Source organism: Homo sapiens, chromosome 17 (assembly GCF_000001405.40).
Source record: "Homo sapiens chromosome 17, GRCh38.p14 Primary Assembly".
Taxonomy (NCBI): domain Eukaryota; kingdom Metazoa; phylum Chordata; class Mammalia; order Primates; family Hominidae; genus Homo; species Homo sapiens.
Genome location: NC_000017.11, coordinates 5,490,848 through 5,507,064, shown reverse-complemented (window position 1 = coordinate 5,507,064; position 16,217 = coordinate 5,490,848). Strand labels below are relative to the sequence as shown.

Sequence of the window (16,217 nt, the reverse complement as noted above, 5' to 3'; positions counted from 1 at the left end):
ACTTTCTGTCTCTTTAAATTTGACCACTCTAGAAACCTTATATAAGTGGAATCATACAATCATTGTCCTTTTGTGCTTGCTTCTTTCACTTATCACAAAGTGTTCAAGGTTTATCCATGGTATTGCATGTGTCAGAATTTTTTTTTTTTTTTTTTTTTTTTTGAGATGGAGTTTTGCTCTTGTTGCCCAGGCTGGAGTGCAGTGGTGCAGTCTCAGCTTACTGCAACCTCCACCACCCGGGCTCAAGCCATTCTCCTGCCTCAGCCTCCCAAGTAGCTGGGATTACAGGTGTCGACCATCATGCCCAGCTAATTTTTTTTTTTTTTTGTATTTTTAGTAGAGCTGGGGTTTCACCATGTTGGCCAGGCTGGTCTCAAACTCCTGACCTCAGGTGATCCTCCCGCCTCGGCTTCCCAAAGTGCTGGGATTACAGGCGGGAGCCACCTCACCCAGCCAGAATTTCCTTCCTTTTAATGTTGGAAAACATCCCATTGTATGTCTATGCCACATTTTGGTTATCTGTTCATCTGTTGATGGACACGTGTGTTGCTTCCACCTTTCGGCTATTGTGAGTAATGCTGCCATGAACATAGGTGTACAGATATCTCTTTGAAACCTTGTTTTCAACTCTTTTGGGTATATACCCAGCAGGGGAATTGCTGGATTATCCTCACAGTTCTTAACCATTTAGTGTGGGTCAGCTTCTGGGTGGATAGAGTAATGGAAGGAGAAGAATGATGTTGCTGAATTGGCTGTTTGATGATTTTTTTTTTTTTTTTTGAGACAGACTTTTGTTCTTGTTGCCCAGACTGGAGTGCAATGGTGCCATCTCGGCTCACTGCAACCTCCACCTCTTAAGTTCCAGCGATTCTCCTGCCTCAGCCTCTCGGGTAGCCGTGATTACAGGCGCCCACCCCCATGCCCAGCTAATTTTGTATTTTGAATAGAGACGGGGTTTCACCATGTTGGTCAGGCTGGTCTCGAACTCCTGACCTCAGGCGATCCACCCTCATCCGCCTCCCAAAGTGCTGGGATTACAGACATGAGCCACCACACCTGGCCCTGTTTGATGATTTTTGTTCTATAGGAGCGGCACAAAGAGAAGAGGACAGAACAAAAGTAACCAAATCTATTCTCTCTGAGGAAGATCATATGTAGAGAGCAGAGGTCTGTGTGTGTGAAAGAAAACGGGGAAGAGGATGAAAATGTCCAGAGTGGTGAGCTCTGCTAGGCCCTGGAATGAAGCTGAGATGCTGGAAGCGCTAAGTTCTCTCTAGTGGGAGAAAACCCACTGTGGAAAGCTAATCATTTGATGTAGAACCTCACCAACGACCAGGAAGAAGCAATCAGTGCCCAGCTAGGCTAAACTGGGCCTGCGATAGGGTGTGAGTAGGGCCAGCTTCCTGGAAGTGCAACCTGTGCAATGGCAGTAGGCCCCCATGCTTGGGGTTTAATGCGTGGCAGTCAGTGCCTTGAAACTCTTAATAATTGTATCTTTGAATTTGTGCTTTGTAAGTGAAGTTTGATGGGACCTGGAGCATGCATAGGGGCAGGAAGGGAGGGTAGGGGGGCTTGGAGCCACAGCTCATGTGGAATCCCACCTGCCAGGTGCCACCTCACAGCGCCCAGACAGGTTCTTAGCTTCCCACTGTCTGCCCCGTGGAGCCCCAGGCTTTACTCAGCCTCCCCTTCTCTGCCTTGCTCAGCAACCATTGCTACCCCTAACCCCAGCAGGGGATTGAGTGGAGCACGGGGATGATCAGCATTGGATGTGAGCTCCCAGAAGCCTCTCAGGGTGGGGCAGGCAGCTGACCCTGCATTGGGCTAGAAGTGCCACAGCACCTTCAGCAGGTGACTAGGCTTATCCAGGCACATCCTAGTGTAGAGGTTGCAATACACTTGCAGGTTTCCCATCAACTGTGGGTTTGGGTAGAGGACCTGTGGAAAGGGGAGATTCCTGGCTTGACTTCCCTTCTCCCAGCCAGGGCACGCATATAAATTAGAAGTTGGCAGGAGAGGAATTCGGCAGCCATGGTTTCCAGGATAACAAATAGCTATAGCCCAGGCAGCAGAGATTCCCAGAAGGTCCTTCTCTCCCACCCACCCACTGACACATACACCCCACCACCACCACCACCACCAAAGCCTGTTTCCTCAGCTGGGCATGAACACTTCGAGCTAAAAGTGGCCTTTGTGAATTTTGCCTCTTGCTCTGTGTACACATTCTAAAGGGAACAAGTCTGTTTTGCTGCAGGGTGAGGCCCAGAATGCGGCCTGGGAAAGGCTAACAGGGCACAGTCTTTGATGGTGAGCAAGCCTGGGGTGGGTAGCTGAGGGGATTGGGAGGTATACCTCTTACCCTTGGGTCAGAGAGATGTGGGTTAGAACCCCAGCAGTCAGTGTTTTATTCTATTCTATTCTATTCTATTCTATTCTAATTTTTTTGAGACAGAGTCTCAGTCTATCACCCAGGCTGGTGTGCAGTGGTGTGATCTCAGCTCACTGCAACCTCCGCCTCCTGGGTTCAAGCGATTCTCGTGCCTCAGCCTCCCAAGTAGCTGGGATTACAGGCATGTGCCACTATGCCCGGCTAATTTTTGTATTCTTAGTAGAGAGGGGGTTTTGCCATGTTGGCCAGACTGGTCTCGAACTCCTGACCTCAGGTGATCCACCTACCTCAGCCTCCCAAAGTGCTGGGATTACAGATGTGAGCCACCACACCCGGCCCCCAGCAGTCAGTATTAGTGGCAGATTTTAGATTCCTTCACCTCTCAGCCTCAGTTTCCTCATTGGAACATTGGAGAAAATACTGGTGCCTAATTTAGGGGGTCATGAAAATTAAGTGAGACCATCTCTGCAGAAATGTTGAGCACAGTTCCCAGCACACAGTCGGTGGCCAGTGATTGGCTGCTGCTGCTGCTGCTGCTATCATCCATGTGTGTCCTAGGATTCCTCATAGAGGGGGTCACCAACATGATCAACTGGCCATTGTCCAGATCCAGGCTTTGGCCTGGCAGACTCAAATCTCTGATTCCTATTGACTCAGACAGTGTATCTTTCTTCCAGAGGCAAATACCCCTAAATGGATGAAGGAAACCTATCAAAGTATAGCACCGGAGAAAAGATCCCCCTAGAAGAGGCCTCTCTCACCTCTGAGAGGGGTATGTACTCTGGGCAGGTCCCAGAAGCAGGAGCTAAAGGTAGCCTTTGTCCATTCAGGGTTTTTTTTTGGTGGATTCTGGCTCCAGGCCCTGGACTCATGAGGTTTTTCCTGGAACGCTCTGGTGTCGAGCAGAGTGTGAAGTTGTAGCTTGGGATCTTCCAGTATCTGTCCTGTCAGGGATGTCTAGTGGTCCTGAAGTCCCTGGGCTGGGACGAAGTTAGCTCTTGTTGCTGGGCATAGGCATAGCTTGCACCAGGATGAGGCCATGGAGTCAGCCAAGCTCTCTCAATTCCTGACAGACAGAGCCCCCAGGGGTCACCTGGGCTGGGACCAGCACTGTTTTGTGATATATTCATTTCTGTACAGGTAGACCAGGTAAAAAATAATAAGGTGTCCTAGAGACACCTGGGCCTCTGCTGTCTGAGCTCCGGATTTAGCCTCACATCTTCTCAATATGCAAAGGACCCTGCAGTTACTAAAGCATTTTTAACACCTGCACTCCTCACTGACACCCAGCTCCTCCCCAATAAGCCTTTGCATGGTTCTGCCCGAGACCCTCTTGGTTACTGAGACTTCCCCACTACCTACTCCCACTTAAGCTGCATAGGTAGGTTTGGGTGACTTTCTCAATGCCACAGCCTTACATAAAGCTCTTCCATCCCACTCTACACACCCTTCCATTCCACCTTGAAAACCCTCTCATTGCACCCTACACACCCTTTCATTCTAGCCTCACATCCTTCCAATCATCCATCACACAATTCCATTTCACCCTTCACACCCTTCCATTCCACCTTGAAAACCCTCCCATTGCACCCTACACACCCTTTCATTCTAGCCTCACATCCTTCCATTCATGCATCACACAATTCCATTTCACCCTTCACACCCTTCCAGTCCATTATTCATTCACACCATTTCATTCCATTCTTCACGCCATTCCATTACAACCTTCATATTCTTCCACTCCACCTTACACACCTTATATTCCACCCTTGACACTCTTCCAGTCCACTACATGTCCTTCCGTTTCTCTCTTCACATCTTCCATTTCACCCTAAGCAACCTCCCATTTCACCCTTCACACCCTTCAATTCCACCCTTCACACCCCTCCATGACATCCTTCAAGCTCTTCCGTGCCACCCTTAACATCCTCTCATTCCACTTTTCACTCTCTGGTCCTTCCATGTCCTTCCATTCTGCCTTCTGCAACCTTCCATTCCATTCTTCACATTCTTTCACTCCACCTAAACCATCCTTCCATTCCACCCTCCACACCTTTCAATTTCACCCTTCATATACTTCCACCCGGCTTGGCGCAGTGGCTCATGCCAGTAATCCCAGCAGTTTGGGAGGCCGAGGCAGGTGGATCACTTGAGGTCAGGAAGTTCAAAACCAGCCTGGCCCATGTGGTGAAACCCTGTCTCTACTGCAAATACAAAAAATTAGCTGGGCATGATGGTGTGGGCCTGTAATCCCAGGTACTCAGAGGCTGAGGCAGGAGAATCGCTTGAACCTGGGAGGCAGAGGTTGCAGTGAGCCGAGACCGCTCCACTGCACTCCAGCCTGGACAACAGAGCAAGACCCCGTCTCAAAAAAAAAAAAAAAAGGAACTGCACCATTTTACATTCTCAACATCACGGATGAGGGTTCCATCTTCTCCTCATCCAGCCAACTGGAAGCCCTTTTAGCTGAGGTGGTTAAGCTGTGAGAACCAGAGTTTGCTGCTGCCGTTATTCACTGCATCATTCATTCAGCAAAAACCTGAGTACCTACCACTACCTAGTAGGCTCTGGCCATGCAAGAAGTCCCTGGCAACGCTGTAGGATAGAGAGGAACAGCACCCTGGTTACAGCGTTTCAGCATCCTGGCCTTGGTTCACCCCGGGGCCTTTCACTTGCAGGAGGCAGGGAGTTCTCTGATGGCAGTTTGAGTTGGATTTGCTGCAACTAACAAAGCCGGCCAGTGGACCTCTCCAATCTACTGGGACTCAAATAAATCCAAGTGATTGTTCTCCCTCCATTCCAGGAAGGAACACCAGCCAGCCGTGGAACCTCAGGTGCAACAGAGACGCCAGGAGATACTAGTGCCCAGCAGCCTGCGGCAGTACCAATGAAGCCAGAGAGGGCTTGGTGGATGACAAGGAGGCCTGAGTAGACCGCAGGTGGGTCTGAGAAATGGGCTTAGGTGAGGCAGGTCTTTGAAGGATTTGTTCTTAATCATATGCGAGATGCTCAAAAGGCTGGATGCCTGCTTTTGTGGGTGAAGAGCAAGAAGAGAAAACAGGTTGTACACATACAGATGCAGATGGAGAGACAGAGAAAAAAAAGGAAGAAGGCAGAGAAATGCACCAATTCTTGAGCTGTATTATCTCTGGACCTTGGGATTGTGGGAGGCTTTATTTTACTACTGATTTTGCCTACACTGTTTTCTCAATTTCTAGTTTTCTACAAAGATGATGTGTTAGCTTTTTCACGCATTAAGATTAAAATTTAAAACAGACCACACAATAAATATTTCTTTTAAAAGGAGAAATATGCCCTGGGGAAGCTCCCCACGCAGCTGAGAGCCTGGCTGGTTGCATTTCGGCTTCTTAGGTGCCAAGCCTACTAGTGCCCCGGGGTCCCAGCCAGCGGCTCGCGTTTCCTCCCCCTTGCGCCGCCAGTCTGGTTGCCATGGAGACAAACCTTGCTGCGCAGAGACTGCCGAGCCGCAGGCAGCGGAGCTGGAACCCGGCGAGCCAGCCTCTGCAACAGGCTGGGGGCGGAAGGAGGAGCCAGGCGAAGCGGCGCCTCAGCTGAGAGGACCGGCGGACCCTGCAGAGGCCCCCTGCCCCTCTGGCTCCGCCCCCACCCGGGTCGCTAGAAATACAGCCGTAGCCCCGCCCACCGCCCACTGCGCTCTGACCCAGACCCGGCTGACCCACCTACCCGCGATCCTGCCCATGGCTGACGGGCTCTTTCGGCGCAGACCCTGGGGTCTCGAGCAGATTCGCCCGGACCCCGAGTCCGAAGGCCTGTTTGACAAGCCTCCCCCGGAAGACCCTCCCGCTGCCCGCGGGCCCAGGTCGGCGTCGGCCGCGGGCAAGAAGGCTGGTCGGCGCGCGGGCGGGAGGGCGCAGGGGGGCCGCGCCGGGCAGCCCCCGAAGGCCGCATCGCGCCCCCCGCCCAAGAAGGAGGCGCCTCCACTGGACGAGGGCTGCTATCTCGACCATTTTCCGCACCTCTCCATCTTCATCTACGCAGCCATCGCCTTCTCCATCACCTCCTGCATCTTTACCTATATCCATTTACAGCTTGCCTGAGTGGCCAGCGCGGGACGGGGTGGGCGCAGGACCGAGCGGGGAGGGAAAGGGAAAACGGGGCTCGGCATTTTGTGTTTTAGAACAGCGCTGCACCCCCTTCATGTAGCTTTCGATGCTTGTTTCTTTCCGTCTTTGTTGTCACTATCTTTGTCTATCAGTACGAAAGTACAAAGTAGCTGCCGGCAATGAAATAGGGGTGCTGTTTGCACCTGCAGGTTAGGGGTGGAGGCGTTTAGAATTTTGGGGTGTGATTGAGCCCCGTTTATAATTAGAATGCCCCTGGACCCCTACCACTCTGTGACGTGGGGGCACGCGCAGGGATCCCATCATTTTGTGTTTGGGGAGCTCAGAGTGCGCCCAATCTTGGAATCTTTAAGGGATGAGCCAGACCCAGACCCGCGGCCTTCTAGAGAGGGTCCGGCAGGGAGGGTCGGCGCCCTGGCCCGGGGTGGGCCGGAGCCCTGTGATGCTGCATCGCCCCCAGGAGGAGCCAGCTGTGCCCCAGAGTTGGCGCGGCCGAGAGAGGACAAGAGCGCGCAGCAGGCGAAGCTGGAGGGCGGGACTCGGTAAGTGGCGTTCGTCGGGGTGTCGTGCTGCGCCCCCAGGGGCTCCGGCTGACCACGACTGTGTGTTTTTCCTGCCTTAGACTTTGTTGTCGCTGCCCGGAGGAGTCGAGACTGGTACCCGGAGGAGCTGTCTCACCAGGAGACCACGTCCTGGAAGTGTCCGGGACTCGCGGGACCTGTGGCTGCAGACCCCGCCGGCACGCAGGCCCAGAGCTGGCGCACTCCTGAGGATGAGACTCTGGGGGCCCTAGCCGGGGTCCACGGGAGGGCTGTCCTTGGGGACTCTAGGATGGCTTCGTTCTGGCCCGGCTCACTTCTGGAGCTGTGAGACCCAAGACAAAAGGGGCTGAGGGATTTCTCATTGACAAGAGTTCGTGCGGGAAAACCACCTGATCCCTAGGGATTTGTCATCTTAAGACTCAAAAGGCTTAATACCAGGAACCACCTTGGCAAGATATTTACCCACCGGCCATCTCTGTTTACTCATGAATGTTAAATGTTAAAACGCAGCGCTCTAACCCTGCATATTATTTACTTGCAAATGTCTGTAATCTGTAATTGTGATGCCTCTGATGGAATAAATTATCTTTTTCAGTCTCCTCTATATTCAGTTCTCCATTAATTTCCAACTCTTCTAACTTCTTCTGCCAAACTTCCTAGTCTGCTCCACAGCATCCCCACTGTCCCTCCAAAACAGACTTAATCCTGTGACCCAGCATTCCAAAATATAGCCTCTCCCTCCACTAAATAGCTACAAGGCCCTTCAATGGCATCTTTCTCCACGTCAGGTCCTCACAACATGCCAGTATCCGAGTCTACCATCCCTTATGGCAGATCAGCCACTATCCCATTGTGGCATTACCTACTGCCCCTCAGTATTTCGTTTCCACTTGCCTCCATTTTGAAGACCGAGTACGGCCCCCCAGCTAAGCTCTGGAATTTTCCCCCTGGGTCTTTACAAACGCCCTGTTTTCCAATATCAGGGCCTTGCCATTTCTCAGTTCTGACTTCCCATAATCCCATATCACTCTGTGCCTTGATATCTTGCCCCCGGACACTTGTTTCGGTGCCACAAGTATGACATCCACGGTTCCCCAATGTCAGCCTGTGCTTTACAATCACACTTTACTACAACAATTCCCCCACAGCAATCGGTGGCACTATTTCCCAAAATTAGGTCTCCAGGCCGGGCTCGTTGGCTCACGCCTGTAATCCCAGCACTTTGGGAGACCGAGGCGGATGGATCACGAGGTCAGGAGATTGAGACCATCCTGGCTAACATGATGAAACCCCGTCTCTACTAAAAATACAAAAAAAAAAAATTAGCTGGGCGTGGTGGTGGGCGCCTGTAGTCCCAGCTACTCGGGAGGCTGAGGCAGGAGAATGGCATGAACCCGGGAGGCGGAGCTTGCAGTGAGCCGAGATCGCGCCACTGCACCCCAGCCTGGGCGACAAAGCGAGACTCCGTATCAAAAAAAAAAAAATGTCTCCAAAGGACCACAATATTTATCCCTCACTGGTTTCCACCTTTCAATCGTGGATATTCGATCTTCTGCTATCGCTTAGTATTGAGTACTCACGGACTCCCAATATATAGCCTAGCGCTCTCCAAACATTTGATCTCATTGTTTCCCTTTCATACATGCCCTGTTCTCTCTCATACAGTCCCTTAGTGACTACTCAGTATGTGATCCCCCAGCTTCCTTTCCTCCGTCAATCTCCTGATAGTAGACTCCTCCTCCTGTTCCCAAAACCAAAGGTCCCTGTTCCTCAATATTCAGTCACTGTTCCACAATATCATGGCCCTTTTTGTGCCACAAAATCTGGGCCTCCATTTTCTCTTTTTTTTTTTTTTCTTTTTTTTTTCGTGCAGTGGCATGATCTCAGCTCACCTCAACCTCCGCCTCCCAGGTTCGAACAATTCTCGTGCCTCAGCCTCCCAACTAGCTGGGACTCCAGGTGCGTGCCACCATGCCCAGCTAATTTTTTTTTTTTAGACTGAGACTCACTCTGTGCCCCAGGCTGGAATGCAGTAGCCTGATCTTGGCTCACTGCAACCTTTGCCACTGGGTTCAAACAACTCTCCTGCCTCAGCCTCCCAAGTAGCTGGGATTACAGGCGTGTGCCACCACACCCGGATAATTTTTTTGTATTTTTAGTAGAGACGGGGTTTCACCATGTTGGCCAGGCTGGTCTTGAACTCCTGACCTCAAGTGATCCACCCGCCTCAGCCTCCTAAAGTGCTGGGATTACGGGTGTCAGCCACTGTGCCTGGTCTGGGCCTCCATTTTCTACCCCAGATTCCAACACCTGGTTCCCATGACTATACTGTTATTAGATCTTATTGCCTCTACAATATTAATATTGGCTTCAATATTCTCCTAAATATCCAGCCCCATTTGATCCCCTTATTTCAGTATTTATTGCGTTGTTCCCCAAATACTTGATTATTGTCTCAATATTGTACTCCAGTCTTCCTTGACACTCACCCCATCACTGCTGTCTCCAATATTAAACTCACTCCAGCCCCCAAATTCATTTTCTTCCCATACCCCCATATTCTCTCCTATCAGCCCATCTCTCTTCCCCATACTTCTCCCGATTTCACTCTCCTTCAAATTCCTGGTTCCATAGAGCTCCAGTACCTGGCCTGTATTTTCTAATCAATATTAAATTTCCATTACTCTCACGCCATCTACACAATGAGATACCACTTAATCCTCACTAAGTATTAAGTGTACACTTAATCCTAAGTATTAATCCTAAGTATTAAGTGTACACTTAATCTGTACACTTCAATGTGTACACACAATAAGCGTGTACTTTTAGTATCATCATGCATCTAAGGTGGCCAATTTTCCTCTTATATAGTTTGAGTTATAGTTTACGTATCCCAGGAATATGTGATGACATATCTCCCTACTGCCCACCTAATTTCACAGTTACTGCTTACCTATATTGAGCTTGCAACTGTCCTCCAATTTCTGGGAGTCCAGTAAGAGTTTCCTTTGTCCAAAATATCAAGCCTTTCCCTGTCTGCTTAGTATACACGGACAGCCTTTTAGACCATAAAAACAAATGGGCCCCCAAGCCAGGTGCAGTGATGCACACCTGTAGTCCCAGCTACTTGAGAGACTGATGCAGGAGGATCCCTTGAGGCCAGACATTTGAAACCAGCTAGGCAACATGGCAGAGACCCCATCTCCAAATAAAACAAAAGGAAAAAACAAACAAACAAGGACCCATTTTTGGGGTCCTTGTGCTGTGCTGCTCAAGAATCGAATTCTAGAGTCTTATTAGCCTGGCTGGGGTCACATGCCCATCTTTGGCTAAAAGGCAGAAGAGTTATCTTAATAGGCAATCCTGTGAAAATAGCATGCAATAGGAAAGGAATAGTTCCCAGAGGAAAACTGAAGAGCCATGGATGCTAGGCAGGTGAAAATATCAGATATCCAGTAAACTGACTTTCGGTAAGTCACAAAGGATGAAGGTAAAGCCAACTGTTTCGGGCAATTTGGGTTGTCAGTGGTAGGTAAATATATGGAGACAGTGAAGTAAGCAGTGGTTCTGAATATCATGGAACAGTAGTAAGTTTAAGTTGTTGAGAAACAGTTGAAATTTAGCTATTTGAAACAGTAGAAACTGATACTGGGAAAATTGATTTTTTTTTTTTTTTTTTGAGACAGTCTCGCTCTGTTGCCCAGGCTGGAGTGCAAAGGTACAATCTTGGCTCACCACAACCTCCACCTCCGCCTCCCAGGTTCAAGCAATTCTCCTGCCTCAGCCTCCGGAGTAGCTGGGATTACAGGTATGCACCACCATGCCCAGCTAATATTGTATTTTTTTAGTAGAGATGGGGTTTCTCCATGTTGGTCAGGCTGGTCTCGAACTCCTGACCTCAGGTGATCTGCCTTCCTCGGCCTCCTAAAGTGCTGGGATTACAGGCGTTAGCCACCGTGGCTGGCCAGATTAATTTTTTAACTATGTCATTGCTTGTTAGAGTCCAAGCACTGGAGATAATTATCAGCAAAACAGAGACAACCCTTGCCTTCATGGAGCTCACTTTGTTAATGATAGAATTTAAACATGTGGCGGCTTAGTGTTTTATTTAGTGTGAGTTCATTGAATTCTCACAACCCTATGAGGTAGGTTCTATTATTCTTCCCATTTGGCAGATGAGGAAACAGGCATAGGTGAAATGATTTGCCCAAGGTCACAGCAATGGAGCAAGATTTTGAACCCAGGCATTGTTTCTGGAGTGTGTATTCTTATTTTTACCAGCTATATTAAGACATAATTCATATAACTCATAACTCACTCATTTAAAGGGTACAATTCAATGGCTTTTAGTATACTCAGAGTTGTGCAACCATTACAATTGATATTGGGACATTTTTTGTTTCTTTTGTTTGTTTTTTTTGAGACTGGGTCTGGCTCTGTCACTCAGGCTGGAGTGCAGTGACCCAATCTTGGTTCACTGCCACCTTCACCTCCTGGGCTCACACGATTCTCCCACCTCAGCCTCCTAAGTAGCTGGAACTACAGGTGAACGCCACAATGCCCAGCTGATTTTTGTATTTTTTGTAGAGATGGTTTGTTTGTTTGTTTGTTTTTTGAGACAGAGTCTCGCTCTATTGCCCAGGCTGGAGTGCAGTGGCACCATAAACTGCAACCTCCGCCTCCTGGGTTCAAGCAATTCTCCTGCTTCAGCCTCCCCAGTAGCTGGGATGACAGGTGCACGCTGCCATGCCTGACTAATTTCTTGTATTTTAGTAGAAACGGAGTTTCACCGTGTTGCCCAGGCTGGTCTTGAACTCCTGAGCTCAGGCAATCTGCCCACCTCCGTCTCCCAAAGTGCTGGGATTACAGGCGTGAGCCACCGCGCCTGGCGTCTAAGGGTTCTTTATATATTTTAGATACAAGTCCATTATTAAATGATTTACAATTTATTATCCCATTCTGTGAGTTGTCTTTTCACATTTGTGATGGTGTCTTTGAAACACAAAAGTTTTAAATTTTGATGATATCCAGTTCATCTATTTTTCCTTTGTTGCTTATGTTTTTGGTGGCATAGCTAAGAAACTACTGACCCACAAAGATTATGAAGATTTAAACCTAATACATGTTTTCTTCTAAGAGTTTTATAGTTTTAGCTCTTAAATGTAGGTCTTTGATCCATTTTAAGTTCATATTTGTACATGGTGTGCAGTAGGATCCAACTTCATTCTTTTGTATGAGGGCGTCCAGTTATCCCAACACTGTCTGTTGAGAAGACTCTTCTTCCCCCATTGAATTATCCCAGCACCCTTATCCAAATCATTTGACTGTAAATGTGAGGGTTAATTTCTGGTTTTTGTTGTTTTTTAAAAATATTTGTGTGTGTGTGAGGGTTAATTTCTGGATTCTCTTTTTTTTTTTTTTTTTTTTTTTTTTTTTGAGATGGAGTCTCACTCTGTCCCCCAGGCTGGAGTGCAGTGGCATGATCTCGGCCCACTGCAACCTCCACCTCCCAGCTTCAAGTGATTCTCCTGCCTCAGCTTCCCAAGTAGCTGGGATTAAAGGTTTGCGCCACCATGTCTAGCTAATTTTTGTATTTTTTTTTTTTATTAGAGACAGGGTTTCGCTATGTTGGCCAGGCTGGTCTTGAACTCCTGACCTCAAGTGATCCACCTGCCTTGAACTCTCAAAGTGCCAGGATTACAGGCATGAGCTATCTCGCCTGGCCTGGATTCTTACCTCTATTTATCTATATGTCTATCTTTATTCCATTAACACACAGTCCTGATAACTATAGCTTTGCAGTAAATTTTGAAATTGGAAAGTATGAGTTCTCCAACTTTGTTATTCTTTGTCGAAATTGCTTTTGCTAGTCTAGGTGTTTTGAATTTCTATATACATTTCAGGATCAGCTTGCCAATTTCTACAAAGAAGTCAATTAGAATTTTGATAAGGATTGTGTCTTTATTAGCATCATGAAAACAGACTAATACAATGAGTTTTCTACATTTTCTGTTAAATTTCTTCAAAGGATTTTATTTTTGGTGTCTTCAAAATGGAATTGATTTCTCAATTTGATTTCCTGTTTGCTCATTGCTAGTGCATAGAAAAATAATTGAGGCTTGGTACAGTGGCTCGTGCCTGTAATCCCAGCACTTTGGGAGACTGAGGCAGGAGGATCACTTGAGCCTGGGAGTTTGAGACCAGCCTGGGCAACATAGCAAGACCTCATCTCTACTAATAATTTAAAAAATTAGTCGGGCATGGTGGCAAGCTCTTTGTGGTCTCAGCTACTCTGGAGGCTGAAGTGGGAGGATCACTTGAGCCCGGGTGGTTGAGGCTGCAGTGAGCTGAGATCTTGCCACTGAACTCCAGCCAGGGCAACAGGGCGGGACCTTATCTCAAAAAAAGAAAAATAATAGCTTTTCTTACATTGATATTATATTCTGAATCCTTGCTGAAACTCATTTATTTGTTCTAATAATCATAACTATTAGTTCTAATAGTTTAAGATGACAACAGAATGGTCTTCTACAAGATTATATCATCTGCAGATACGATCTGTCTTTCCAATCTGGATTCCTTTTATTTCTCTTTCTTGGGAAACTTTCCTGGGTAAGATCTTCAGCAAATGCTGAATAGGATGCTGAAAGTGGGCCTCCTTTGCTTTCTTTCCTGATATTCAGTATTTCACCATTAAGTGTGATGTTAGCTGTGAGTTTTTCATAGATGTCCTTTATCAGGTTGAGGAAATTCCCTTCTGTTCCTAGTTTGTTGAGTGTTTTTGGCATGGAGGGGTGTTGAATTTTGTCAAATGTTTTTATGTGTCCATTGAGGTGATCATAGGGTTTTTGTTCTTTATTCTATTGAGGTGGTGTATTTCATTAATTCATTTTCAGCAGTTAAACCAACCTTACATTCCTGGGATAAATCCCACTTGGTCATCGTGTATAATCCTTTTTATATACTACTGGATTTGATTTACTTATATTTTGTTGAGTATTTTTTTTTTTTTTTTTGAGACAGGGTCTCACTCCGTCACCCAGGCTGGAGTGCAGTGTTCATAACCATGGCTCACTGCAGCCTCAACTTCCCTGGCTTGAGCTAGCCTCCCACCTCAGCCTCCCAGGTCTCTGGGACTACAGGCATGCACCACCATGCCTGGCTGATTTTTTCTAGTGTTTGTAGAGATGGGGTCTCACTATGTTGCCTAGGCTGGTCTTGAACTCCTGTGCTCAAACAATCCTCCCACATCAAGTCTCCCAAAGTGCTGGGATTACAGGCGTGAGCCACCATGCCTGGCTTTGTTTGTTTGTTTGTTTGTTTGTTTTTACAGAGTCTCAGTCTGTTGTCCAGGTTAGAGTGCGGCAGCAGGACCTCGTCTCATATTGAAACCTCTGCCTCCCGGGTTCAAGTGATTCTCGTGCCTTAGCCTCCTGAGTAGCTGGGATTGCAGGTGCACGCCAGCACACCTGGCTAATTTTTGTTTGTTTTTTGCTTTTTGAGACAGTCTCACTCTTATCACCCACGATGGAGTGGAGTGGTGCAATCTCGGCTCACTGTAACCTCCACCTCCCGGGTTCAAGCAATTCTTGTTCCTCAGCCTCCCAAGTAGCTGGGATTACAGGAGCGTGCCACCACACCTGGTTAATGTTTGTATTTTAGTAGAGATAGGGTTTCATCATGTTGCCCAGGCTAGTCTTGAACCCCTGAGCTCAGGCGACCTGCCTGCCTCAGCCTCCCAAAGTGCTGGCATTACAGGCATGAGCCACTGCACCCAGCTATGTTAAGAATTTTTTTTTTTTTGCATTTACATCCATTATGTAATGGTGAATAGGCATGACAGTAGAGAATAAATAAAACCAGGGAAGGTTTGGTATTACAGAACAATGGGATCTCATATTGGGGTGGGGGGGAAAGTGAGAAATTGGGTGAGATTGATGCTGGATGGGAGATGGGACAATTTTATCCTTTATTCTATAGTGGTTCTATTTATTCTGTTCTATTGATGCATTTTCACACGTTAAAACAACCTTGCATTCCAGGGAAGCAGAGAATGGGTAAACAACTGTATATAATTCTGATTTAGTCATAAATTTCTGAAGGGAGAATTTACTTTTTAGAGGATGATAGGGTCAACTATATTATTTCTGCAGAGACACCACCATAACAAACAGCAACAGTAATGTCCAGCAATTATTAAGCATGTACTCAACACAAAATGGACCCGAGTTCAAACACTGGATTTCACCCTTCTATCCAGGTCATGACCATACTTAACTGTATTAAGATGAACCATATTACTGCATATAATAATGTCAAGGCCTCAGCAGTAGTTTCCTTAATAGATAGCTTATATCCTCATGAACATCTCAATATTCTGATTTCACTAACATGCCTACTAATAGGTATATTGTTTCCTGTGACTGCTGTAACAAACTGATGACTTAAAACATATTCTCTCACAGTTCTGGAAGCCAGAAATGCAATCCACCTGTTGGCTCTAAGGCAGAATCTCTTCTTTGCCTCTTCCAGCTTGTGGGGGCTGCATTACTCCAAACTTTTTTTTTTTTTTTTTTTTTCTGAGATGGAGTCTTGCTCTGTCACCGGGCTGGAGTGCAGTAGCACGATCTCTGCTCACTGCAACCTCCGCCTCCCGGGTTCAAGCGATTCTCCTGCCTCAGCCTCCCGAGTAGCTAGGATTACAGGCATGTGCCACCACACCTGGCTAATTTTTTATATTTTTAGTAGAGACAGGTTTTCACCATGCTGGCTAGGCTGGTCTTGAACACCTGACCTCAAGTGATCTGCCCACCTAGGCCTCCCAAAGTGCTGGGATTACAGGTGTGAGCCACCATGCCCGGCCCCAACCTGCTTTTAGGTCCTAATACCTCCTCCTTTTCTGTCTGAAATCTCCCTCTGCCTTTCTAAGGAGACTTTTCACTGGATTTAGGGTCCATCCAAATAATGCAGGATGATCTCCTTATCTCCATATCCTTAATTATACCTGTAAAGACCCCTTTGCTGAATAAGGCAACATTCACAGGTTCCAGGAATTAGGACATGGACCTATCTTCGGAGGGATCACTGTTCGACCCACTACAGCAGATTCTGAATAAGCTATAAATGTGAAAAAGATAGTGTTTTCAATTGAGTAAAAAGTCATACTGGAAAGAAATATACCAT

At 47.4% G+C, this 16,217-nt stretch overlaps 3 protein-coding genes across 3 annotated transcripts in view, besides 2 other annotated features; all 3 read left to right on the top strand.

Moving 5' to 3' along the window:
- NLRP1 (NLR family pyrin domain containing 1) overlaps nt 1–5,669 on the top strand; it is an 83,114-nt gene extending 77,445 nt beyond the window's left edge. The window contains exon 16 of the mRNA NM_001033053.3: nt 5,193–5,669. Coding sequence (NP_001028225.1) covers nt 5,193–5,251 — 59 coding nt within the window. The 3' untranslated portion in view covers nt 5,252–5,669. The remainder of the gene's footprint in view (nt 1–5,192) is intronic.
- Nucleotides 5,743–6,162: a silencer, noted in NCBI's record as "silent region_8072". NCBI's record gives its function as "represses an Ori minimal core promoter by ATAC-STARR-seq in GM12878 lymphoblastoid cells {active_cell/tissue: GM12878}" and the evidence as "EXISTENCE:reporter gene assay evidence [ECO:0000049][PMID:35858748]".
- On the top strand, nt 6,059–7,638 carry LOC728392 (uncharacterized). Its single transcript, NM_001162371.3, has 2 exons — nt 6,059–7,034; nt 7,115–7,638. Exon 1 carries the CDS (start codon nt 6,109–6,111, stop codon nt 6,466–6,468), a length of 360 nt encoding a protein of 119 aa, NP_001155843.1. The 5' UTR covers nt 6,059–6,108; the 3' UTR covers nt 6,469–7,034; nt 7,115–7,638.
- On the top strand, nt 6,059–7,638 carry LOC124900388 (uncharacterized). Its single transcript, XM_047437232.1, has 2 exons — nt 6,059–7,034; nt 7,115–7,638. Exons 1-2 carry the CDS (start codon nt 6,742–6,744, stop codon nt 7,260–7,262), a joined length of 441 nt encoding a protein of 146 aa, XP_047293188.1. The 5' UTR covers nt 6,059–6,741; the 3' UTR covers nt 7,263–7,638.
- Nucleotides 6,495–7,061: an enhancer, noted in NCBI's record as "H3K4me1 hESC enhancer chr17:5403324-5403890 (GRCh37/hg19 assembly coordinates)". NCBI's record gives its function as "activates a minimal SCP1, AML or CMV promoter by ChIP-STARR-seq in primed H9 embryonic stem cells {active_cell/tissue: H9 hESC(primed)}" and the evidence as "EXISTENCE:reporter gene assay evidence [ECO:0000049][PMID:30033119]".

What these genes read in the sequence shown, in the direction of transcription:
- LOC728392 (NM_001162371.3), top strand. Translation starts at nt 6,109, where the DNA reads ATGGCTGACGGGCTCTTTCGGCGCAGACCCTGGGGTCTCGAGCAGATT.
- LOC124900388 (XM_047437232.1), top strand. Translation starts at nt 6,742, where the DNA reads ATGCCCCTGGACCCCTACCACTCTGTGACGTGGGGGCACGCGCAGGGA. An exon ending in AAGCTGGAGGGCGGGACTCG is followed by an intron (nt 7,035 to 7,114) that starts GTAAGTGGCGTT and finishes TTCCTGCCTTAG; the next exon opens with ACTTTGTTGTCGCTGCCCGG.